Source organism: Homo sapiens, chromosome 10 (genome assembly GCF_000001405.40).
Source record: "Homo sapiens chromosome 10, GRCh38.p14 Primary Assembly".
NCBI classification, from domain to species: Eukaryota; Metazoa; Chordata; class Mammalia; order Primates; family Hominidae; genus Homo; species Homo sapiens.
The window spans coordinates 12,593,962-12,619,647 of NC_000010.11; the positions used below are offsets into that span (position 1 = coordinate 12,593,962).

Here is a 25,686-nt window from a genome sequence, read left to right on the forward strand (position 1 = left end):
AGGTCAGGAGTTCGAGACCAGCCTGACCAACGTGGTGAAACCCCATCTCTACTAAATACAAAAAATTAGCCTGGCGTGGTGGCACATGCCTGTAATCCCAGCTACTTGGGAGGCTGAGGCAGGAGAATCACTTGAGCCTTGGAGGCTGAGGTTGCAGTGAGCCGAGATCGTGCCATTGCACTCTAATAACACAATCATGGGAGTGAAGTTCTGTCATTATAAGAGGTGAGCTCAGCTTAAGAGCATGATAACATCCACATTACAGGGAGGAACAGTGGACATGTCAAATTCTCATTGCTGTGATTTGGGGCAAGAAAAAATAACAGGCACCACCTAGCAACCCTACCCCAAGCATCTCAAGATGTGGTAATTTCTTTTATACAAAACAAGTTTGTTTTGTTCAACCACGTTTAAGCCTATAGGTGTGATCCTTGTTTTTATAGGCAGCTAATTTCAAAGTGACATTTTGGGATGGGTTAATTTCACTTGTATTTTTCTTGCTTTTTGAATGCCTTACAGTTGAGGCTGTCAGCACTCGGCCTCCACCACAGCCAAGAGTCAGACAGAATGTGGAACCACCCACCAAGTGGGCCAATGACAATGGGCTCTACGTTTCTGTCCCTTCTCATTTCCTGCTGTAAACTTTCAGGGAGTCAGTGAACTCAAGCGTTTCTGTCAGATATAGAAACATTTCCCATGGTTGGAAAGTTAAAGGCTAGTTTAGGTTACAGGCAGTTTGTCTGCTGGAAAATACATAGTTTTCAGACACTTCCTTTTCTGGTAATAAACAAAAACAAAATCAGGAAACTGTTTCCAGGAGGTTGAACGTGTGGTTCTCATCTGCTCGGCCTCATGCGGTGTTCAAGTCCCAGGAAGTGGTTGACGTAGGTGGGGCAGCCATATTGCAGCCAGGCCCAGGCTGCAGGAAGGAATTGACTATATAGGTCAGGATCCACTTGCGGAAAGCAGAAATGATTCCAGCTGGTTTAAGCACAGGGTGATGAGAATTTCAAGTGCTGACACTGACAATGAAAGGCGGGGAAGGAGACTCACTCCATGCTGAGGTTCCAGGCATGATCTTCAAGGTGATCTGGGGGAGACCAGGTGTGGTGCCTCATGCCTGTAATCCCAACACTATGGGAGGCTGAAGAGGGCAGATCATCTGAGGTCAGGAGTTCAATACCATCCTGGCCAACATGGTGAAACTCCGTCTCTACTAAAAATACAAAAATTAGCCAGGCATGGTGGCATGTGCCTTCAATCCCAGCTACTCTGGAGGCTGAGGCAGGAGAATCGCTTGCACCTGGGAGGTGGAGGTTGCAATGAGCCGAGATCACACCATTGCACTCTGGCCTGGGCAACAAGAGTGAAACTCCATCTGAAAAAAAAAAAAAAAAAAAAAAGGATGGTTTTAGGAGAGATTCTTCTTTTGCTAAAGCTAGGAACTTGAGGAATTATCAGAATGTGGGCAGTCACTAAAATGCTGCTGGCTTGTGGAATACACCTTCCCCCGATTCTAGGCTCATGAACTTGGGCCTGGTCCCTGGGACCTTTGCATCTGAGGTGGGGTGATTGATCCAGGCCCATCTTGAATGTCTTGATTGTATCTTTGCATTTGCGTTTTGTAAGTCAAGTCCAACGTGCGTGCTCTGGGCCATGCGTCTTCTGTCCATAGCCCGTTCTGTCCCCTACCCCTTGACCATGTTTCCAGGGTGAGTGTTCAGCTGCCCACTTTCTGGTCCCACCCAGAGACCACTGCCACCTGAGGAAGCGTGACATTAGATAGCAAATTTTAAAAATACCATGACAGGTCAATAAAGAGACCACAGAAGAAAGGGGAAAGTATTTCCTCCTGATTTTTGAACAAGGTGCCTGGCATTTTTGTATTGCACTGGGCTGTGAAAGCTGTGTAGCCAACTCTGAATGCATCTCATCGCTTCCTACTATGAGTAGCAGCTTCTGCCTTCCCTCCTTTCCAGGGCTAAGTCTCTGCTTGGGGGAGAGTCAGGCCACACATGGAACCCAGCTGCAGGGGAGTCTGGGAAAGGAGTTGTTAGGGTTTTGTCTTCTGGCAAGCAGTAAGACACCCTAAAAGGGGTGGAGATGAGAGAGCTCTTCAGTCCTAAAAAGGGACATAGCCCAGGAAGACCCAAGAAGGGAAAGCAGGAAGTGAGGAGAGTGTGGGCATTTGGAGGAGGGGTTGAGTTTATCCCCCTTTAAAAGAGAAACTGTCGACAAAATAAATGTAGTAGAATTTCTTTGAGCATTAAAGGATTCATGAGTTGGGCAGCCCTCACAAACAGAAGAGGTTCAGAGATCTAGGCTTTGGCAGCATGAGCAGTGGGCTTCTATAGGCTGAACTTGGAAGCAAAGTAAAGCATTTATTTGATTGGCTCCAGCTAGCGGTTTGCCTTATTTGGGTGTGATCTGGTGGGAGGTCCCCAGTTAGAGGTTAGTTGGCAGTTTCTGATTGGTTAGGCTTACATTTCACTTTACAGTTTACATTGGGCTTCATTTGGCTTACCTAGGAACCCAAGGTGCTGGAGCCATCTCAGCCTAGTGGCCTCCCAGTTAAATATTTTTAACACTCCAAATCTCTTAGTTTGAGCTACTCCTAGGTACCGATTTCTAGGTAGAGTCCATCTGAAACCTGTAGATGAGAGGTATTGAAACTTAGGGAGCAGTAGAGGAGCTTGTCTGAAATCATGGTTTCTGGGTCCCTACCCTCAAAGATTTGGATGCCGAAATCCCATGGTGGGGTCTAGAATTTAAACTGGTAGGTTCCTCTGGAGACACTGTGTTCACTCTGCTTCTGATCACTAGTGTCTACTCCTCCTGGCCTCCAGTCCCCCTTTCCCACCCACATTTTTTTTTTAGACCTGGTAATTTTTTTTCTCTTTTCTGCATTTTTCTTGTGGTTTTTTTAGGTGTCTTTATTAACATTCCCACTGGTTTAGAGATTGAAAGCAAAGTTCCTGTCTTTGCTTTGAACACTCTAGTGAAACAGGATACTCAAGGTAAATGCTAAGATGAGGCTATTATCTCTGGAGCTCAGGGTCTAATTCATCCAACGTTTATTGAGCCCCTTCAAAGCACCCATCAGTGGGGATGGAAAATAAAAAATACACAGCTCCTGCCGTGCAGGAGCTTGTAACCTTGTGGGGAAGCTTAGCACTTCTTGCCTCCCTAGGTTTAAGCAGTTGGAGGTGCAGTATCTATTTGGAAAGAAGAAAAATGCTTTTGAAAACTGCACGTGGTCTGTATGGTGGCTGCTCCTTGTCCTGAATGCAAGGTTGCCCTCCATGATTGGGGAAGCATCCATCACCCCCTTGGGAACTGAACTCAGCTATAATGTTTGTGCTTAGGAAACTTGACATTGAACTTCCAGTAACTGAGGCCAGGACCTTCTTGAAGCACTGCCTTGTGGTTCAGTTCTGCCTGCCCACGGTCATTGGCCTTCTGGGCTGACCGTTTCCTCGCTGACTCCCACAGACACGCTGACCATCTGGAGGCTAAAGGATCTTTCTTCCTAGCAGGTCCCTCATGGTAGGGGCTCTGGGGCCCCTACCAGGCAAAGGAATGGTTGGGATTAGACCCTATGCAGAGGCACGTGACTTTTCATAGAGGGGCACTTCCATGGCCCAGTTGTTCCCTCATTGAGGGCGTTGTGGGGAGCCGGTTCCTTCCTGTGGATTGTAGCCTTCCTGACTTTAAATCCTTGCTTTATTCAGATCCTTGGCCAGTTCTTCTGTACTGGTCTCCTGGGCCACCCATAGGGCTGTCTTCACTTCCTACCATCAGCTGTTCCCTCTATCCAAAGATGAAGGAGCCCTGTATTTGCTGATGTGAGCTGCTTCCTTTATTTATGCTCTCACTGGATCTCTGGGAGATGTACTCTACCATCAGAACACTCAGAGACAGTTACCTGGACATAAAGTGTTGGTGTTGGCATCGTTATCAAACAATAACAGAAAACACGTCAGCACCAACTGCATCTGTCCCTGTGCTTGATAAGGAAAAAACAACATGCACAGTCCTGTCTTTGAAGAGCTGACATTAAGATGGACGATGCCGTGAAACACACGCATTTGTAAGTTGCAGACATCCTCCTATGCAAGCACTCTAGTCACATTTGTTTGGTAAAAGATAATCACTTTTAGCTTCAGAAAGAACTCATTCATGCCTTGATTTTCAGTGTTGCCACGGGAAAGCAATAGCAGAACCTGGGTCCCTGCTGTGAAAATGAAAATACTTAAGGATGTTCAATTGCTTTTCTGTTATTCATGTGCATCCGTGGTAGGACATCATGGCAGAGCAGCTGCTCAGAGCGTGCGATTAGGTGTGGGTTCCCACTTCAGCCTGGGATTGTTTCATTTCCTGCAGCTGTTCTCCAGCATGGTAAAATTCGAACGATGTCGATAATTTTCCCATAAGGGGCTCTCAAGATACATCAGGTTGTGCTCTCTAGAGTAGTTTAAACTACTATTTCTTGAGTACTTACTATGTACTGGGCAGCATTTTCCATATCTCAGGAAGCAGTCTCATTTTCAAAGGAAAATGAAATCTGTTTCGGGTCACACCACTTCCTGCAGATTCAGGACACCCCACTGAGAGATTTAAAAACCGTGGATGCTCTTTTCAGTCTGACAAGATGCTTGTCATAGAGCATCACTGTCTGGGCTACAGGGATGCAGAAAGGACCGAAGGTCTGAAGGGAGGAAAAGGGCTCTGTACTGGTGGGTTTCTGGAAAAGCCTTTACTTTGAGGTGGTCCATTGAGCTTGTGTAGCCTGGAGGGGTAGAAGCAAAATTAAACGAATACGGGTCAACCTTTTAACGCGTATCTTGCAAATAACATGCTACTGGCTCTATGTGCAATGCCTGGATATAACAAATCTATTTTTACGAGGCCTACAAAGACCAAAATATCTCGATGTGTGTGATGTGATGTAATCTCTGCATTTGGGGTGGGAGGTGAGTAGGGAAACAACTACTTTGGAATTAGCACGAATGTACACAATTTCTGAGTAATGATGCACGAGAATGCTCAGGTATTCATAGAATTCAGAGAGGGGGTGTGACCTGCCCATGATTTAGGAAAGGCCTTAGGTGTTTCTGGGAATTGTATGTTCATATGTTCCTACAGCCAATAACTCGCATATAATGATCATCATTATTTGTTGAACAGTTAGGCTAACTGAGTATCTTTTTGGGGGTTACTTGGAGCAGTCGCTGTGTTTTCTTGAGTTGTAAAAAATTATGGTGAAGGTTTTGGCTTAAAGAATTGGAGGTGGAAGTGATTCCCTGCTGCATCTTATTTTGAGAGTGGAAGGGAGAAATTCTGTCCATTCAGTGAGGCGGGATGCAGCTGCGTTGTAGGTTCTGGTGGAATAAGGTGTCTCCTGGAGCTGGAGGGGTGGTGTGGGGTGGACCAAGGAAGCATGTGGCTCACTGGATCCTAGGAGGTGTTGTGACCTCATCGTGCCCACCTGGCATCAGAGAGTAGGCAGTGCACTGCCTCAAAGGAGAAACCCTCTGGGATGAGACAGACATAAAGTAAGAAGAAAAGAGCCAGTCTTTGGCTCAGCAATGCATTTGTGTTGGTTTCTTTTTGTCCCCTTTTAGACAAACCTATTCGTGGTAGAAAGAGAGCAACGTGAACACGATCAGGAGAGGGAGAGGAGCAGTCCTACCACTTTGGCCTTTGTGTCCTCCATGAAGAGATGCTGGTGTTTTCTGAGCATTTGTGAGCTCTTGGCATTTGGGTCATAGTGCATCGGTATTCACAACTTTTCCACACGGGCCCCAGAGGAGGGCTTGCAGCCTCCCCATTGCCAGCTTCTGGGGATGAGAAGAATTGCAGAATTGTATAAATCCCTTATCATCAGCTAGAGGATTGTTAAATGCACACATTAAGGCAAACAAACAAACAAATAAAAAACCAACCAACCTTTTGTCAACAATTGGCTTTATTTTTTAAGAAAATACAGTAGAACGAGCAAGATGTGGTGGCGTGTTCCTGTAGTCCTGGCTGCTTAGGAGGCTGGGGCAGGAGGATCACTTGAGCTCAGGAGTTGGAGGCTGCAGTGAGCTATGATTGTGCCACTGCACTCCAGCCTTGGCAGCAGAGTGGGACCTTGTCTCAAATTACGAAGAGAGAGGGAAGGAGGGTGGGAAGAAGGAAATAGCAGAACAATAGAAGTTTGTAAAAATACCCAAGTTAGAAGAAAGAAAAAAACAGGAGAGATACTCAAGGATATTTGACTCCAGTTCCCCGCTTCTTACATGGGAAGCTGGGTGGGCCCCCCTGTTTCTAGTTCAGCATTCCCTTTGAGACCTCCTCAACTCAAGGGGGACTTCAGAAACAATGGAATGAAACAATGGGCCCTACGTTTTCACTCAGAGCTCAAGCTTTATGTTGCCAGGCAAACCTAGAAAGAGTCCCTACTCGGTAACCTACTCACGCTTGGTTTGTTTTAACAGAATATAGAGGGGTCAGTGAACGTGTGTTTTGATTCCAAGGAAATTCCAAGCACCTTAAGAGTTTAGTAAATGTTGATCTGGCGACATTTCACTTTTCCTTTTTAGCAACCAAGAAGTCCGATAATGAAAGAATTTTCTCTTTAATTGACTTAACCCTGCAAGATGTTTGCTCAGAGATTTTGTTTGTTTGTTTTGTATCAATTTAAGGAGTACAAGTACAGTTTTGTTACATGGATCTATTGCGTAGTGGTGAATTCTGAGCTTTTGGTGTAACCATCACCCAAATCATGTACATTGTACCCATTAAGTAATTTCTCCTCCCTCATGCCCTCCCATTCTTCTACCCTTCTAAGCCTCTAACGTGTGTTACTCCATTCTGTATGTTCACATGTACACATTATTTAGCTCCCACTTGTGGGTGAGAACATGTGGTATTTAGCTTTCTGTTTCTGAGTTATTTCACTTAACATAATGGCCTCCACTTCCACCCACCCATGTTGCTGCAAACGACATGACTTCATTCTTTTTTATGGCTGAATAGTGTTCCTCGGTATGCATGTACCACATTATCTTTGTCCAATCTTCTAATGATGGATGTTTAGGTGGATTCCCTATCTTTGCAATTGTGGGTGGTGCGGTGGTAGACATGAGTGCAGGTATCTTTTTGATATAATCATTTCTTTCCTTTGGGTAGACACCCAGTAGTGGGATTGCTGGATAAAATGATAGTTTTTTTTTTTTGTTTGTTTGTTTTTTTTTTTTTTTTGCTCAGAGATTAAGTCTTTTTGGTGTGAGCTTTTATTTACAAGCATTCCATGTCCTGTAAATAATGTGAGCAAGTTTTCATTGCATGATAAATTTGGTTTCACTCAGTCTTGCCTGTATCTTATGTGAAGATAGACATATGACATGAAAACACATGACCTGAGCTCTCTAGTTCCTGTGACCTGGCACGTGTGTGGCCTGCCACAGCACCTCGTATAAGTCTGCCACAGACTTATGTGAGAGTCTCAAGTCATTTCTTCTTTTTTGTTTTTTGAGACAGAGTCTTGCTCTATTGTCCAGGCTGGAGTGCAATGGCAAAATTTCGGCTCACTGCAACCTCTGCCTCTCAGGTTCAAGTGATTCTCCCGTCTCAGCCTCCTGAGTAGCTGGGATTACAGGCACCCGCCACCACGTCTGGCTGGTTTTTGTATTTTTAGTAGAGACGGGGTTTCACCTGGTTGGCCAGGCTGGTCTTGAACTCCTGACTTCGTGATCCGCCCGCCTCGGCCTCCCAAAGTGTTGGGATTACAGACATGAGCCATCGTGCCCAGCCTCAGTTCATTTCTTAAAGAGACAAATTCTAAACACAGTGGCAAGCCATCAGCAGGGCTTTCTTCTCCCCTGCAGAATCGTCTTAGCCTCGGTAGCTCGTTTCAGCTCAGCTGGTGTGCATTAGGTACCTGTGGACAAGGCAGCTGAGCTCTTAGGAGGAAACAGGAAGAAGCCCCCTCTACCTGTGTGTCCTGCCCAGGGCAAGGGATCCTGTGGCAGGGGGCCCATTCTGGAACCACTCATAGTAGATGGGACTTCAGAATGTTCCAGAACAAGGGGAATGCCTGTCTTATGATTTGAAGCATCTCCCCCAGTGGTTCTGTTTGCCTTCCTCATACTCCCCGAAGAACTATGGTCTTATAAAACCACTGCTGCGTCTATCTGAGGCAAAGTTTGATTACAGGAAAGTAATTCAGGAAAGCCCTGTATAAACTCATTTTATATCTCTACTCACAATCTTTTATTTTATCTGTTTATTCATTTTTGTAGAGACAGGGTCTCACTATATTGCCCAGACCTGGTCTCAAACTCCTGGCCTCAAGTGATCCCCCTACTTCAGCCTCCCAAAGTGCTGGGATGACAAGTGTGAGCCACAGCACCCGATCCCCACTCACAGTCTCTCATTTCATGTTCATAGGTGGTCTACAGATAGCAGGAAATCTCTCACCGATGACTTTTCCAACCCTGAAAAGATGCAAACAACCTGATGAAAGAAAGATTCCTGGGTGACAGGAGCTATATTTGTAGGAGCAGGTGCCATTTGGGACAGAGCACAGGGTGTGGGAGCATTCTGAATTAGAGAAGAGAGTGGGCAGCTTCACCCCTCCTGGGCAGCAGATCCATTTTATCTGCTGTGAATTCCTGGCACACCAGAAGTGCCTCTATTTAAATATGTCAGCATAAAAGGCGATGGCTGTTCTTTGAGCACTTAGGAAATGTTTGTTTGGGGAGGACCTGCATTGTTTCAGGTCCGTAATGGCACTGGGCCTGCAGAGACGCATGGAGGCCGCTCTGCCTACACACTCCGCCTCTGTCTGTGTGGGAAGGGGAAGTTGAGGACGTCTGAGCAAAGACCGGTGGTGGATCTGGACCCACAGTGACTCCCATAAGCATCACATGTCTTTCTAACTGCTTGTTATTATTATTATTATTATTATTATTATTTTGAGACAGAGTCTCGCCCTGTTGCTCCCAAGCTGGAGTATAGTGGTGCGATCTTGGCTCACAGCAACCTCTGCCTCCCGAGTTCAAGTGATTCTCCTGCCTCAGCCATCTGAATAGCTGGGATTACAGGCACGCGTCACTGCACCCGGCTAATTTTTATATTTTTGGTAAAGATGGGGTTTCGCCATGTTGGCCAGGCTGGTCTTGAACTTACGACTTCAGATGATCCACCTCCCAAAGTGCTGGGATTACAGGCATGAGCCACCGCGCCTGGCCTCTAACTGCTTGTTGATGTTTCCTAATACATTTCCTACAGTGACCTCAAGCTCAGCATGTCCGCATTCCGGATTCCTCCTCCCCGCCCAGACTGGCTCTGCCTGCTGCGTCCTGCTGGGACACCAGTTGCGCAGTGCCTGAAGCCAGGAACCTGGACCTCCTTCCAGGTCAACCCCGCCTCCCACCCTGACCCGTGCACGCCTGTCCTTGATCATTATATCATATGGCTTCAGCCTCTGAAATGTGACTTGTGTGTCATTACCTCTCCAGAACCCATGACCACTGTCACCTTTTACTTCTGCTGTTGTAATAGGTCCTTACCTGGCCTTCTCACCTGCCTTCCTCCAGTCCATCCTGTGCTATTCGATGGAGTGGGACCTCGGGTTGAGAACACGGCTCCAGGACAGCCATGAGAAGGGTGCAGAAGGCAGTCAGCCCGCGGCTGGATTAGCACCCGCTGGGGATCATTCTCCCCTCTTTCCCGCTTGACCCATTCCCCCAGTCACACACCTCCCTTAGTACAACTCTTTGCTTCCCTTGCTTCTTCTCCAGGATAAGGAACAAGCTCCTTAACATCACATCTCCAACCAGTCATGAAGGGGCCTGAAGTGATCTTTGCTGTTTCATCTTTCCCCCATCTCCAGCCCTGGAACACACCTGTCACACTCTGGCTGTGACTTATTACATCTTACCATTCCTTAGAAACGCTGTGTACCCAGAGGTCTCTGGGAGTTTGCAGCACCTGCCTAAGCTGAGGAAGCCCTTATCTACCTGAAAAATGCATGCCTGCTTCATAGCCAGCCACCGTGCCAGTGGCCATATCCCTAGGCAGGGCTGGCCTGTGCCTTCTCTGGACTCCGATAGTAGTTAAGTTCCTCTGTCATACTGGGATCGCTCCTGTCACCCCCCATCATAAATACTTATCTGTCTGCATCTCAGACAGAAGTGAGCCTCTGGAGGCCTGGGACCCGTTCTTATGTATCTCTGTAATTCTTAGCACCCAACCAAGCCTGTGCCTGGTACAGAATCATCGTTCATTGTGAACGAATGTCATAGAACACAGGCAATGCAGGGAGATGGGGGTTGCGCAAACAATTCAGGTACAAATTCCAAGGATGGTGGAAGTTGGGAATAGGGAGTGGTACAAGTGCCAGCGTCTTTGAAGCTGACAGGCGTTAATAAGGAATCAGATAAACAGGGAAAAAATACAGTGAATCTGACTTCTTAGCAGAAGTGTTTGGCCGTGTTGGCCCTTGGGAAGCTGAACTTTTGCCTCACCCGAGACGCCATCAGGGTGCTTGGCTTCTCTGGAGAACTTTCCAGAAGTACTTACTTGATGCTATTCAGAGTCTCAGAAACTTGAGGGCCACTTTTAATTATCTCCAATGGACTCATTCCCAAGAATAGTATTAATTTACCACCTGCAAGTGATATTTTGAGCATTTCTAGGGAGTTGCTTCAAATGTTTCAGGTTCCAGTTGACTTTGGAATGTATATCCATCATCTGTCATGTGTCTAAGGTATATGATTCCCTGTAGGTGCCAGGAGCTCCCAAAATAGAAGGAAGGAGTGACTACTTGGGTAGTATGAAGCATCTTTAAACTTAGTTGACCAAAGCACCCTTTTCCTGGAGACTAGTGTGCCATGGAACCTCACTTTGGGAAATGCAGATCCAATGCAATCCTTTTTTTTCTTTTTTTTTTTTGAGATGGAGTCTCACTCTGTCGCCCAGGCTGGAGTGCAATGGCGCAATCTCAACTCACTGCAACCTCTGCCTCCTGGGTTCAAGTGATTCTCCTGCATCAGCCTCCTGAGTAGCTGGGACTACAGGCACCTGCCACCACTCCTGGTTAATTTTTTGTATCTTTAGTAGAGACGGGGTTTCACCATGTTATACAGGATGGTCTCGATCTCCTGACCTTGTATCTGCCTGCCTCGGCCTCCCAAAGTGCTGGGATTAGAGGCATGAGCCACCGTGCCGGGTACCAGTGCAGTACTTTTATTTTACAGAGAAAATAACAGGCCTGGCTCCATGAAGGCCATGAGGCTAGGAAGGTCTGGCTCCTAGGTCAGGGCACCTCCCTGTGAACCATATGGCTTCTAATATATAGTGTGATGGTGGATAGAAACCATTCAAGTGTGTGTGTGTGTGTGTGTGTGTGTGTGTATGTGTGTCAAAGAGAGAGACAGACACACATATATACACCCCTTGGCCAGAACTTCACTACTGTGGCAGATAGTATTTGCATCCGTGCCATCTTCCAAAAGCATTTAGCCCTGGCTGCCCACCCCTGCCCAGCACCTGGTGATTCCAGGCCACTCAGGGGCCCACTCTGACCCTCGGTGGCTCTTCGCCACCCTCTTCTCTGTGATCCAAGCAGAACTTCTGCAGTACAGTTTGTGCCCACTCACTTCAGAGAGATGATACAAAACACTTCTCAGGAGTGAGCAGGTGACAGTTGGGGAGGAAGGAGGGGAGCCCTGGGGGCTGCGGTGCCACTGGCAGCCCCAGAAAACACTGCCGCATTGCCCAGCTCTGCCTCAGCCCTGGGCTGTCCTTGGACAGGGCCATGGGATGCCACTTCCCTCTCTCTCCCTTTGGCAGAGAGCCCTCGGAAACAGGAGTTATTGAGAAACCAAAAGTAAACAGCTCAGCCTCTCCCCGGGGCCTGTGGAGCCTGTTGCCCCGGATGGATGGGGTTAGTGCCAGCAGCTGCTCAGATGATCTGTGGGGCATGTTCTGGGGTGGAGGGGGCTGGGAGCCACGGGGCAGAATTTGGCCGTGAGAGAAGCATTGCAAAGGTCATCGTAGGCCTGACTTCTAGGGCACATCGTCAGATCGAGGTCGGAGAAAAGGCAAAACTGCAAGCCCCTTCCTCATGCTTGCTTCACAGCCACGCCGCTTGGAGTTGAAAGCAGCCAGAATAACCGTTTCCTTTGAGTTAACAACGCAGGTGCCGTCATCCTCCTGTGAGCCGCGGCTGCTCAGGGACCACAGGGGAGGGAGCGCGGGGCCTCTGAATCGGGCATCACTTTCTGCTCTGCCCCATGGGCCCCTCACACACAGCACCTACTAGGGACAGACAGTTCAGGAGTCAGAGACAGGGATGCCAGGCGACCCCGGCACAGAGTCGGTCACGCACGTTTCCTCCACTGTCCTGACCTGCCTACTTCCGCCTAACCCATTTGGCTGAGCTGGTACTGATGTTCTTAAGATGGCAAAAATCAGTCGATGGGGCTTGGGCTCTGAGATCTGCCTGATAGTTGTAGGAACCACGGACGGCCCTCCCTGGGCAGGGCTCAGAATGGATGGCTGGATTTTAACTCGTGGTTTCCTGATGGTTTGGGAAGGACATTTGAAACATCCTCCTCTGTGGAGTCTCCCTTTGCCCCATGCCTAGAACCAGGGGTTGCACGTGCTCATTTCTCTCCTGCCGTATGTATAATCAGGGCTCTCATGCGTTGATCCCTGTGGCGTCTCGGGCACCACGCCCAACTCTGAAGTCTGTATGTGCCCTTTAATCACTCGGAGATTGCTGGGGATTGGATATTATCATTCGCAAAGTGTAGATGAGAAACCTGAGGCTTGTCTTGCCTGTGTTCTCCAGCAAGGAAGTGACAGATAATTTTTTTTTTCTTTTTTTTGGAGATGGAGTCTCGCTCTGTCACCGGGCTGGAGTGCCGTGGCGCAGTCTCAGCTCACTGCAACCTCCGCCTCCTGGGTTCAAGTGATTCTCCTGCCTCAGCCTCCCTAGTAGCTGGGAATACAGGCGTCCACCACCATACCCCGCTAATTTTTGTATTTTTAGTAGAGACGGGGTTTCACCATGTTGGCCAGGATGGTCTCAATCTCTTGACCTCGTGATCCACCCACCTCGGCCTCCCAAAGTGCTGGGATTATAGCATGAGCCACCGCGCCTGGCCCAGAAGTAACAGATAATTTAAGCCCAGTTCCATCTCTCTCGTCCATACGTGCAGCCACCTGCCAGTGGAGTGAATGCCCATTTATGCTTCTTTCCCTTCCGGCCTCCCTCCCTTTCTTCTTTCCTGCCTTTCCAACTGGGCTTTAAAGCCAAGTAGAAATTTATCATCTGCATGTCTCATTCTGTGCATTAGTGAGGCTAATCCAGGGTTTGCTGTATGAGAACCTCCTAGTAAAGTATCTGAAAGCATCGCTGTAAAGGATAAATTTGTCATGAGAGGTGTTGTGGGTTCTAGGGAGAGACATTCAGAAAACCACCTAGGCCGTTTAGTGAGGTGTTCATTTTCCAATAACATCTTCCTGCACTGTTCGCATCCCTGAGCGGGTCCCGTGTCTGTCTGCTGAAGAGGCAGAAGCATAAACCTTCCAGGAGTTCCTGCACCCTTTAATTGCCCTGAGGATCTAAAACAAGTAACAACTTTGAAGATGGTTCAAATGTATCCTGGAACTTTCCTACCCAGATGCGAAGATGCTTTTGATTTTAGAACTAATAGGGCACCTGGTGCAGTGGATCACACTTGTAATCCCAGCACTCTGGGAGGCCGCAGTGGGAGGATCACTTGAGATTAGGAGTTCCAGACCAGCCTAAGCAACATGGTAAAACCTTATCTCTACAAGACGTACAAAATTTAGCCAAGTGTGGTGGCAAGCACCTGTAGTCCCAGATACTTGGGAGGCTGAGGCAGGAGGAGCACTTGAGCCTGGGAGGGGGAGGCTGCAGTGAGCTGTGATCACATTACTGCGCTCCAGCCTAGGTGACAGAGGGAGACCTGTCTCTTTAATAATAAATAAGTAAAGAAAGAAAGACAGACAGAAAGAAAAGAAAACAGGAGCTCAAATCCAGAGGGTACTTACTATTTTTATATTTTTGGGAAAGTGAGATTTAATAAAAACAGATTCATCAAAGAAAATGTACAGACATGAAGGGAACTATTAACATATTTACATGGTTTAGGCCAGGCATGGTGGCTCGCGCCTGTAATCCCAGCACTTTGGGAGGCCAAGGTGGGTGGATCACTTGAGGTCATGAGTTTGAGACCAGCCTGGCCAACATGGCGGAACCCCATCTCTATTAAAAATACAAAAATTAGCAGGCATGGTAGCGCACACCTGTAATCTCTGCTACTCGGTAGGCTGAGGCAAGAGAATCACTTGAACCTGGGAGGCGGAGGTTACAGTGAGCCGAGATTGTGCCATTATAATCCAGCCTGGGCAACAAGAGTGAAACTCTGTCTCAAAAAAAGAACAAACATATTTATGTGGTTTAAAGTGTTTAGCTATGTGTGGAGAGATTTCAGACTGTCAGCTTTTAAGTAACAGCTTTTCTTCTTCCATGATGCATTAATATTTGTCACTCAGGCACTGGCAGGAGGGAACCAGAGGCTGTGTTCTACAACAAATGGCATCTGCAAAGAGCCACCACTACAGATGAGCAAGATGTTTAAAGTCAACTGGAATTAGGAACTATCTTATTTCTTCACTGAATATGATAAACAAGAACTTGTATTGAATCTGCAGAATATCAAGTTTTATAAAATCCCGCGTCTCTTCTATCTTTGCTTTTTACTTCAAACATGTTAGATTGAGTTCTGGAGATACACAAACTAGAAAGGGCATTGTAGAAAATGGTTAAGTATGTTGGCCCTTCGGCATTCATGTTGGTCTGTGTAAACGTGGGCAAGTTATTTCAGCCCTACCAGTGTCGGGAGTCTTGTGGGAGAAATCACAGGAGTGGTGCAGGAGTAAATAGAATAATCTATTGAAAGCTCTTGGAATGGTGCCGGGCAGATGATGCATGCCAGTAGCAGCTGTTTGTCACTATTGTTTTGCTTATTGTTGCTGTAATTCCAACTTCTTGCCTTCCAGGTTCTGGTCTTCCTGCCAAGGGGCCATGCATGTGCATAGACACTCAACTGTGATGGAGATAAAGGGTACTGTAAAAACGGGCATTACCCAGACCGTGTGGGTCAGGGAGGGCTTCCTGGAGGAAGTCATGACCCAGCCTTGTCTTAAAGGACACATTCAGTGACCAAAGAGAGCTGTGAGGAACACGAACATTTCAGGGCCTGTTGGGGGAAGGGGACTGTGTAGAGCATCGCTCCCCAATCTTTTGGGCACCAGGACCAGTTTTGTGGATGACAGTTTTTCCATGGAGACGGGGTGGGGGAAATGGTTTCGAGATGATTCCAGCACATTATATTTATTGTGCACTTTATTTCTATTATTATTACATTGGAATACATAATAAAATAATTCTACCACTTATCATAATGTAGAGCCAGTGGCAGCCCTGAGCTTGTTTTCCTGCAACTGGACAGTCCCATCTGGGGATGATGGGAGACAGTGACAGATCATCAGGCGTTAGATTCTCAAAAGGAGCGTGGAACCCAGATCCCTCGCATGCGCAGTTCACAATAGGGTTCATACTCCCATGAGAATCTAATGCCACCACTGATCTGACAGGAGGTGGAGCTCAGGCGGTGATGCGGGTGATGGGGAGCGGCTATAAATACAGATGAGGCTTTGCTCACTTGCTGCCCCCCTCTTGCTGTGCAGCCTGGTTTCTAACAGGCCACAGACTGGTACCAGTGCATGGCCTGCAGGCTGAGGACCCCTGAGAACATGTGTTTAGAAATGAAGAAAAGTCAGCAGAGACCCCTAAAAGCCAGGCAGGAGAGGAGGCTCAAGAGGGAGGGAAAGATCAGCTCTCAAACATCCTGGAGAGTTGAAGAAAAATAGAGACTAAAAATTGTCCCTTGGATTTAGTGACAGTGAAGTCATTTGTGCTTCCATAAGGATCATTTCAATCAAGTGGTAGAGAAACAGCCCAGTAGTGTGCTGGTAAACGTTTAACAACGGGCTCTTGGGGCAGTGTTGGGAGGAAGAAGAGGTCCTGATCTGTAGCTTTTACCCATTTCCATGGTGTAAAGACTTTCTATGTGACTAATTTAAAGCCACCAACTGAAGTCATTGAATCCAGATTAGGAAGGGATGTTCATAGACCATGTGGTTCCAGCTGTCTCCAGAGCATGCCTGAAACAGCCTGATCTCCGGAGTCATGGTGATGGCCAGGTGACAAGGCAGAGATGGGCAGGTAGCTTGATGTTTCCAGTTTGTAAGCTTTCTGTATCATTCATTTAAACAGTGTGGTAATATATCTGCTGTCCTCTGCTGCATCTCAACGCCGAGATTTGTCCCTCCCCTCCTTTCTCTGGGCACATTCTGATACTATGGTGCTGTCTCCTCCCCCTTCTCAGCAGATGTATCTGCTTCCATCTGCCTCTCAGAAAAACCCACCATGTTACCGTGAAGAAGCTTACATCCACTTTGCCCAGCAGTAAGTGTATAATGGGATGTCAAGAACAGAACAGAAGGGTTTGAGCATAGAGCCTTGTGGGGTTTATCACTACCACAGTTCAAGGCAGAAGATGTCCTCACCAACTGAGACAAGTGCTCAGGTCCACTTGTCAGGGACGGTCTTCACAGTGGAAGGTGACTTTTCATCTCTGGGCCACCCAGATGTGTGATCTGACTTTAGGCTCAAAAAGCAACCTTTTGGTCTTAATCTGGCCTCTCAAGTAGACTTCCCTTACTTGAATGAAAATGCATATGCTTTCCAGCCTAACCTGACTTTCCCTGTCTTATTGTTGGTGAAAGGTTTCTATTCAAGATTATGTATGCATTGACTTCCTGGCTAATACATCAGTGTTCTGTGAGTTTAGTTAACAGGATTGGAGACCCGATAACCCCTTAAGGGAACAGGTAATAGCAGCAAACACTTACATAGCCCTCAGTATATACTAGGCACTCTTAGGAGTACTTTATGTATTCAACCAAGTAACAAACCCTTGAGCTGTCTGTTTTATTGATGAAGAAACTGAGGCACAGAGATATTTAGTGCTTTGTCCAAGGTCACATAAGAGAGTGTCAGAACCAGGTTCTGAATGTAGGCCTTTGGGGTTCTGCAGTCTGTTTCCTAATCACCACCTTCTGCTGGTTCCTGCCTGGTGAGTCCCAGAGCTGAGAATGAGACCCTGGACCTGGGGACCCCATCAAAGTGCAGGCAACCCGGAAGACTCCACCTCCACTAAACGCAGGCCCTGTGCCCATCCCTGGAAGGAAGGGACGCAACAGAGGCCATCCTAGAGCCTCGAAGTGCCCCCTTCCGTGCTGACATTCTGACGTTCCCGCTCCTGCAGCTCCTCTACCCTCGCCTGGTTTCTTTGGTTTCTGGGGACGAATCCAGACATTTTCCAGCTCCAGGTCTGCTTCCAGGTGAGGAAGCTCCGCCTGGGCCTGAGAAGACATCTCTGGTTGGGAGGAGCTCTGCTGTGTGGTACCTGCCTGCCCACTGAATGAAACCTGTCCTCTCTGTACCCCCAGTTCCCTGAATGTTTCAGAATGCCTTTTTTTTTTTTTTTTTTTTTGAGACAGAGTCTTACTCTGTCTCCCAGGCTGGAGTGCAGTGGCGCAATCTCGGCTCACTGCAACCTCCCCCTCCCGGGTTCAAGCAATTCTCCTGCCTCAGCCTCCCGAGTAGCTGAGATTACAGACACGTGCCACCACGCCCAGCTAATTTTTTGTATTTTTAGTAGAGATAGGGTTTCACCGTGTTGGCCAGGCTGGTCTGGAACTCCTGACCTCAGGCGATCTACCCGCCTCGGCCTCCCAAAGTGCTGGGATTACAGGCGTGAGCCACCGCGCCCAGCCCAGAATGTCATTCGAGTTTTCTTTTTGCCCCAGGTTATCCTGCTAATGCCTTATTTCTCCACTTCATGAAGCATTTCATTTCTGAGGCCAGTCCATTAAGGGGCTAATAAAAAGGGAACTTGCTGGACACGGTAGATAAACTAAAAAGCACTCCCTCTTAGGATGCTCCTCCCTGGCTCTCCAGTGCTCTGTGAGAAGAGAAATGAGACATTTGCTTTCTGTCCTCTCTTTCTCTGGGACCTTAAGGGAAAGCTGCTGTGGGTTGCTTCATGGAGCTTCCACTTCCAAAACTCCAGCCTGGAACAAAGGTCTACAAGGCACCTTCAAGGGTTGTAGAGAGACTTCGTGGAAGCACAAAAATAACTTCGGAGGGAGAGGGAAGGTTTCATATTCTCAGGCATGTTTACACATCTGTTGTCCCAAATTGGGCTTTAATTAATTAATTACTTTTTTTTTTTTTTTTTTTTGAGACAGGGTCCCTATCTCTTGCCCAGGCTGGAGTGCAGTGGCACGATCATAACTCACTGCATCCTCAAACTCCTGGGCTTAAGAAATCTTCCTGCCTCAGCCTCCCAAGTAGTGGGGATTAAGGCATGAACCACCATGCCTGGTGGCCTCAGGTTGGGTTTTAATACTGTGGGTTTAATGGTGTCCTGGATGTACCAGGAAGTTGACAGGATCAGAGCAAGAGTCAGTTGGATTTTCCCCGGTTGTTCCTAGTAGAGGAAGAAGACCTTTGCAAAGAGAGAAAGTGGGTCCTGGATGGGCGTGGAGGTCGCATATTCCTCTCTGGGTGCAGCTTGGACAGGTCAGTCTTCTTCTTTGAGCAGGTGTGTCATCATCTATATAATGAACAGCTGGAACCATATGTTTTTCAAAACACCTAGAGACCTGAAAGTTCCATGATTTTGGTGACAGCATAAAATTGTAATACCTTTTGTTGTTAGTATTGTTGCATTTTTTAAAATCCCTCAAATTGATGTAGTCTTGGCACGTGGTCTTGTAAAGCAAATACATGATAGGGATCCATTTTTGGACAGTGTATCTTTAAGGAATATGATTGTTAATAGAATGAGTGTCCGCATCTCTTTCTCAAGACCTGACTAGATGGTGTTTGGGGTGGTGCCTCTGTCCCTCGATCATTGGCAGGAATAAAGGTAGTTGAAGCCAAAGATTGAACCTTCACTTTTCCCTACAGTTGAGGGCTAATTAACTCCAGTCTTGTCCAAGAACTCAATTTATAGCATCCTTAAGCTCTTCTTCTAGCAATCTCAAGGCTCCAGGAAACTTTTAAAAAAAGAAAGCTCTTTTCCACAAACAGAAGTTTAGGAATGCATATCCAGAATTTCCACCTTCTAAATTGGCACCTAAGCGTGATAGATGGCTCCCTATAACGGGCAGCTCTTGCTCACTGCAGCAGCACGCTAGTGGTAATATCACAGCCTGTGGCATTACACGAGACTGTGACAAGCCATTAAGAAAAAAAATAGGCCAGTGTTATTGAAAAGCCTGATTGCATTTCTGTCATCTAAAGTATGTGAAGCAGCCTTGTAAACTACAAACTTTTTCTGTTTTAGAACTTTGGAACCCATTTCAACACTTTGTCCATACAGTGGTTGAGAGTCGGTATCTACCAATTTGCTTGCCGATATCTACCAATTTGCAACCTCCACCTCCGGGGGTGCAGGTGATTCTCCTGCCTCAGCCTTCTGAGTAGCTGGGATTACAGGCGTCTGACACCATGCCTGGCTCATTTTTTGTATTTTTAGTAGAGACGGGGTTTCACTATGTTGGCCAGGCTGGTCTCGCACTCCTGACCTCACGATCCACCTGCCTTGGCCTCCTAAAGGTCTGGGATTACAGGCATGAGCCGCCGCACCCGGCCTAGGATTACATTTCCTTTTGTAGGGGCAGAAACATCACAGAGTTCTGGGTACGGTTGAGTTGTGTGTTTTTTCTTCAAGGTAAGCAATAATATCCCGATTGTACAGGGAAGAAAACTGAGAGGTAGAGAAGAGAAAGTGACTTGGCCTGTAAGTGCGGGAGTCTGACGGCAGAGGCTGTGTAATAATACCATGTTCTGGTCATCACCCCCATCACACAATCCTTATTAACTTACAGCTGCCCCATACTCTGCTTTTCTCCTTAATTATTATTTTTTAACCCAAGACAGGTAGGATAGGGTGATGTTAAAAGAGCCAGACTGCCTTGATTCTCACACCAGATTTTCTGCTTTGTAGCTCCTGTCACCTAGAGCACTGGACCTCTCTGAGTCTCGGTTTCCTTATCTCCAAAATGGGCATGGCAACAGGAGTTCCCTCCTTGAGTTGTGAGGATTGAATTAATAAATACTTGGAAGCCCTTCACACACACACTACCGTGTAGCAAGTGTTCACTTGGTGTTGTCATTATGCCCTAGCTTTGTTGTTGTTGTGTGCACATGTAATCCAGATTGCTGACAAAAATAGGCAACTGTGGATTGACACTATATACACATTTAAGCAAATGCAACCATATGCATCTCTCTTATGAAGTTAAAATAGAGTACGGTTATATTTTGCATGTGTTCCGCATATTGTAATAGCCATAGTTTTATATATTACAAAGTGCTAAATACGTATTCACTTTATAGGGTTGAATACACAGAAATATGTGCTCCATACTTGAATGGGCAATTGAAATAATTTTCGAGGGAAATTTTGATGACTGTGTAATAACTTTTGCCTTTCTTGCTGACTTTATATTCTAGCTTCTTTTTAAATTTTGACTAAGTCCGGGTTGAGAGGCCTTGATAAGCCCTTGGAAACCTCCACCCCACCTACTCCAGGATATCTGGTTACTAGGGTGCACCCTCACCCTCCACAAGGCTTATTCACCATGTGCTCTAGGGCTACCAGCTGTTGTTATACTGGGAATCGGATGTGTCTCATATCCTCTGATTCTTTGAGTACCAGCCATACCAGCTATTGTGTTAGAAACTGCCGACATGGAGTAATCAGCCCCAAGTCGCCATCCTTAGAAGTGTGTGTTCAAATTATAACCCAGTGTGGCCCAGCAAGCACATTACCAGCTAATCAACTCAGCAGGTGCCTGGACCTGGGGCTTCTCAGTGAAGATAACGTTGGAGATGGGTTTACAGGGTTGGAAGGGGCTGGGAGCTGGAGGACTGATAATCCATTCTGAGGAGGAATGGCAGGCAGAACGCCTGAGAGCCCCAAAGGGTTCCTGAGCAGGGAGTCTCTGGGACCGGAGGATGGGCGAGAGGAGGCAGAATTGGTGGAGTTAGGTGAGGGGGCCTCCTGGGCCACCCCTAGGAAGGAAGACCCAGGTCCCTCAGGTGATTGGGAGCCATTGGTAGCTTTCAGCAAGAGGAATTCACTATTTTTGACCCTCGATTAAGATTTGTTGCATTTTATATTCCATTTCCATCTAAATAAGAAAATATATTGGAGTAATTAATTTACTCAAGTATAGGTTCTGGAAGGAAGTTGTTCAAATTCTTTGCCCTTCTTTGGAAATGGAACTTAGGGAGTCTGAGTGTGTGAGTGTGTGCATGTGTGTGTGTAGGTGTGAGTGTGTGCACGTGTGTAGGTGTGTGCATGTGTACATGTATAGTTATGTGTGTGTATATCGGTGTGTGTGCATGTGTACATGTGTAGTTATGTGTGTATATCGTGTGTGTGCGTGTGTGTAGGTGTGTATTGTGTTTGCAAGTATGTATACGTATGTGTAGTGTGAGTGCACGTGTTTGTACAGGTATGTGTTTATTTGAAAGTGTATTTGTGTATAGGTGTGTGTGGTTTGTAGGTGTCTATAGATGTGTAGGTGTGAGTGTGCATGTGTGTGGGGGTGTGTATAGTTGTGTGCGTAGGTGTGTGTAAGTGCATGTGTGTAGTGTGTAGGTATGTGTTGTGTGCGTGTGTATAGGTATATGTGTGCGTTCGTGTGTGTATAGGTGTAGGTGTGTATGCATGTATGTGTATAAGTGTATGCATAAGTGAGAGCATGTGCTGGTGTGTGTATAGGTGTGTGTATGTGTGTTTGCAAGTGTGTTGGTGTGCGCATAGGTGTGTATGTGTGCATGTGTGTTGTGTCTGTATAGGTGTGTTTGTGGGTGTGCATGTGTGTTGCTGTGTGTGTGGGTGTGTGAGTGCACGTGTTGGTTTATGATAGGCGTGTTTGTGCGTGTATTGGTGTGTATAGGTGTGAGCGTGTGTGTATGTGGGTGTGTATATGTAGGTGTGTGTATAAATGTACGTGTGTGAATGTATATGTGTGTAGTTTCATATGAGTGTGCACATGTGTGTTTAAAATATGGCTAACGGTAAGGAAATAGGAAGAAATAAAATTAGTTTTCCAAGTATGGGCAGGCTTGAATATTTTAGTCTTATATAATGTTTCAAAATTGATTGCATAACAAAGCGGGTTATCTTGGACAGTAATAGGAGTAGCTAACATTTATCGATGCTACAGCGAGACAGACTGTTCTAAACCCTTTACATGAACTAGCGCATTAAATCCTCGAATCAACCTCTTAAGTAGCTACTGTTTTTACCCACCCTTTACGGAAAAATCCAAAGGACAGAGAGGTCAAGTATCTTTTTGTTTGTTTGTTTTTTGTTGTTGTTGTTGTTGTTGTTTTTGAGACGGAGTCTCGCTCTGTCTCCCAGGCTGGGGTGCAGTGGTGTGATCTCGGCTCACTGCAAGCTCCGCCTCCCGGGTTCACGCCATTCTCCTGCCTCAGCCTCCCGAGTAGCTGGGACTACAGGCGCCCGCCACTAAGCCCGGCTAATTTTTTCTATTTGTAGTAGACACGGGGTTTCACCTTGTTAGCCAGGATGGTCTCGATCTCCTGACCTCGTGATCCGCCCGCCTCGGCCTCCCAAAGTGCTGAGATGACAGGCCTGAGCCACCGCGCCTGGCCGAGGTCAAGTATCTTCTCACCAGCTAGAGTAGAGGAGGCAGGGCGGGAACCGAGGTGGTCTCTGTCTTGAGTCCATACATTATAACTGTTGAATTACCGGACACCCACTTCAGTGGCATTTATTCGGTGAAGTGTTTGGGGTGTAGGGAAGGGGTGGTGGTGACTGGAAGTGTAGCTTGGGGATCGCCTTTTTAATATCCCTGTCTAGTCACAAAAATAAGGCATGTTCTAATCAACTAAGCACTTGACCATGAACTTCTCGTAAGCAAGGTGAGTGGTAGATTTTTTTTCCTCAAGGATGCAAGCAGCTGATAGAATTGGGAAGAAAGTTATTAGTTGCAAAAACATTTAAGCTTTGCAGTAAGATTACTAGTGCACCAAAGGAATCGTGACTGTTAAGCCCTCTAGCTGATTAACTGGTGCTGTTATTTTATTTTAAAATGTTGTAATTTTTTCACAACAAGAAAAGTAATGTGTATTCCTAGAAGACAAATGAGGAAAAATACATAAGCAAAAAGAGGAAGAACACTCATAACTCCACTAGCCAGAAATTCCCCGTGTTAACTCTGGCGTCACTTACGGTAAATATCCCCATTCATCTCTTCTTGCTCCCAGAATAAATTAGCAGCAGCTTTTCCTCAGAGCAGGGGAACAAGCCACTTGTGTGGTAGGCAGATATGCAGGCTATGATGGCCAGAAAATAAGCGCACCCCAGGGCGAGGCAGTTTGTATTTTCTGCTTTCGGGGGAGCCGTTTCTTCTCTTTGAGGAGAGAAGTAATTTTCTGTCCCACCTGCATCTGTTTTCTGGCCTTGGGACCAAATGTCAACATCCCTAGTGGTGAGCACGCCCTTCCTTCGGTTTTTCTAGTTGCTGAGATACCTGCCGGGTTAGTTTTTTCTCCTCCAGATTGCATGTCTCTGATTCACCAGTGATAAAAATATTGAACAGTCACAAAAGACATAAATGAGGTGGGGAGAAAAAGCATGTCACTGAAATGCTGGTTTCCACTGGTGAGCTCCTTGAAATCCTGATAGAACTTTTTCCAAATGAAACGTGAAGTGGTATGCTCTTCAGACCATTAATTTTATTAAATAGCCAAACAATTGGATTACAGCCGTTTATCTGTACTGATTTTGCATTGTCATTTCAGAATTATCTCTTTAATTGCTACCTCCTCAGTAAGGTTCAGGGTAGAATGCTGTCACTATTTACGTAATCATTTACATATTTTGTATTAATTCACATTTGTTTTGGATCTAGTATTGAGAGGTGACTTAATTAGATCCAGTGGTTCATGATTAGCAGCCGATTCAGGGCTCTGTGTCTCTCTCTCCTCTTCAACATTTCCTCATTTCCTATTCCTGCCTCCATAGATATCCACTATAATGGACTTGCTAAATCTCTTTGAATACACAGGCATCCTCCTAATTTTTTTTTTCATTTTGTGGTGTGCATGTGTGTGTGAATGTTTGTATTTTTAATTTACATGAATGGCATTCTTCAATAGATTTCATTCTGTTGCTTCGCACTTTCAATGCATGCTCTTTCTAACATCTGTCCGTGCTACTTACTCTGTTTTCTCTAGTTCATTGTTTATAGCTGCTTTTACCCCATTTTATCTTCATCTCCCTGGTGATGGATGACTGAACCGTCTTGCACTTGTGTGTCCATAAAGAGTATCATGGATGAAAACCCTTGTTCATGCCCCTTCAAAGACTCGTGGGGGGATTTTTTGGGAGCCTCATATTCAGAAGAAAGCATACAGTTACTTTTCATTTAAGTATCAGGTAATACTTAATTTCATTAAGCATTGCCAGAGTATTTTATTTTTTACTAAGTATTAATTGAGTACTTTCTATTTTCATCACATTAGGCTTGGTATTTAGAGGGATTCATGGGAAAAAAAAAGAGACTCTTCTCAAGAAGTTTAAACTTTGCGTAGGAAGAAGGCAACAAAAAGAGAATATATGGGTAGTAGTAATAATAGTTGCAGTTTATTTGTCATATACCAATCAGTGACATATATCTTCTTAATACGCATAACCCTGTGAAGGTATATTATTAATTCTGTTTTACTGTTAAAGAAAAGGCAGTTCAGAGTGGCTAAGTAAATTGCCTAAGCATGCACAGCAAAGATGGTGGCAGTGCTGAGGTTTAAACCCAGTTTTCTCTTACTCCAAAGTCTCTCTCTCTCAGTGCTATGCAGTACTACTACCTGAGATGTCTGTTTTTAAAGAAGCCATTGAATCTTTGCATGTAGCAGGAGCTCAATAAATGCTTTTGAATTACTGATTGAAATAATCATGGTAAATGCATTTGAGTGCTGTCTGCTAAGTAGTTTAAGTACTTTATGTCTAGTAAACTGTTCCAATTTCACAGTAATCCCATAAAGCTGGCATTACTGTTATCCCTGTTTTTCTCCTGAGGAAACTAAGGCATAGACAGGGTGAATAATGACCAAATTCACATAGAGCTGGATTTTTTTTTTTTGAGACGGGGTCTTGCTCTGTTGCCCAGGCTGGAGTGCAGTGGTACAATCATGGCTTACTACAGCCTCAGCCTGATGGTCTCAAGTAATTCTTCTGCCTCAGCCCGAGTAGCTGGGACTGCAAATGTACACCACCGTGCCTGGCTAATTTTAGAATTTTTGGTAGAGGAAGGGTTTTACTGTGTTGCCTAGACTGGTCTTGAATTGCTGGCCTCAAGTGATCCTCCTGCTTCAGCCTCCCAAAGTGTTGGGATTATAGGTGTATGCTACCATCCCCTACTTGGATTTTTAAAATTATTAAAAATTACATTTTAATTTTAACATTTTAATTTCAAGATAGT

The 25,686-nt window shown here is 46.0% G+C and overlaps 1 protein-coding gene across 7 annotated transcripts in view, besides 1 other annotated feature; it reads left to right on the top strand.

The window, feature by feature from the left end:
* Positions 1-25,686, top strand: part of CAMK1D (calcium/calmodulin dependent protein kinase ID) — a 485,999-nt gene that overhangs the window by 244,415 nt on the left and 215,898 nt on the right. The gene's annotated exons all lie outside the window — the stretch shown is intronic.
* Positions 11,792-11,841: an enhancer, noted in NCBI's record as "active region_3047". NCBI's record gives its function as "activates an Ori minimal core promoter by ATAC-STARR-seq in GM12878 lymphoblastoid cells {active_cell/tissue: GM12878}" and the evidence as "EXISTENCE:reporter gene assay evidence [ECO:0000049][PMID:35858748]".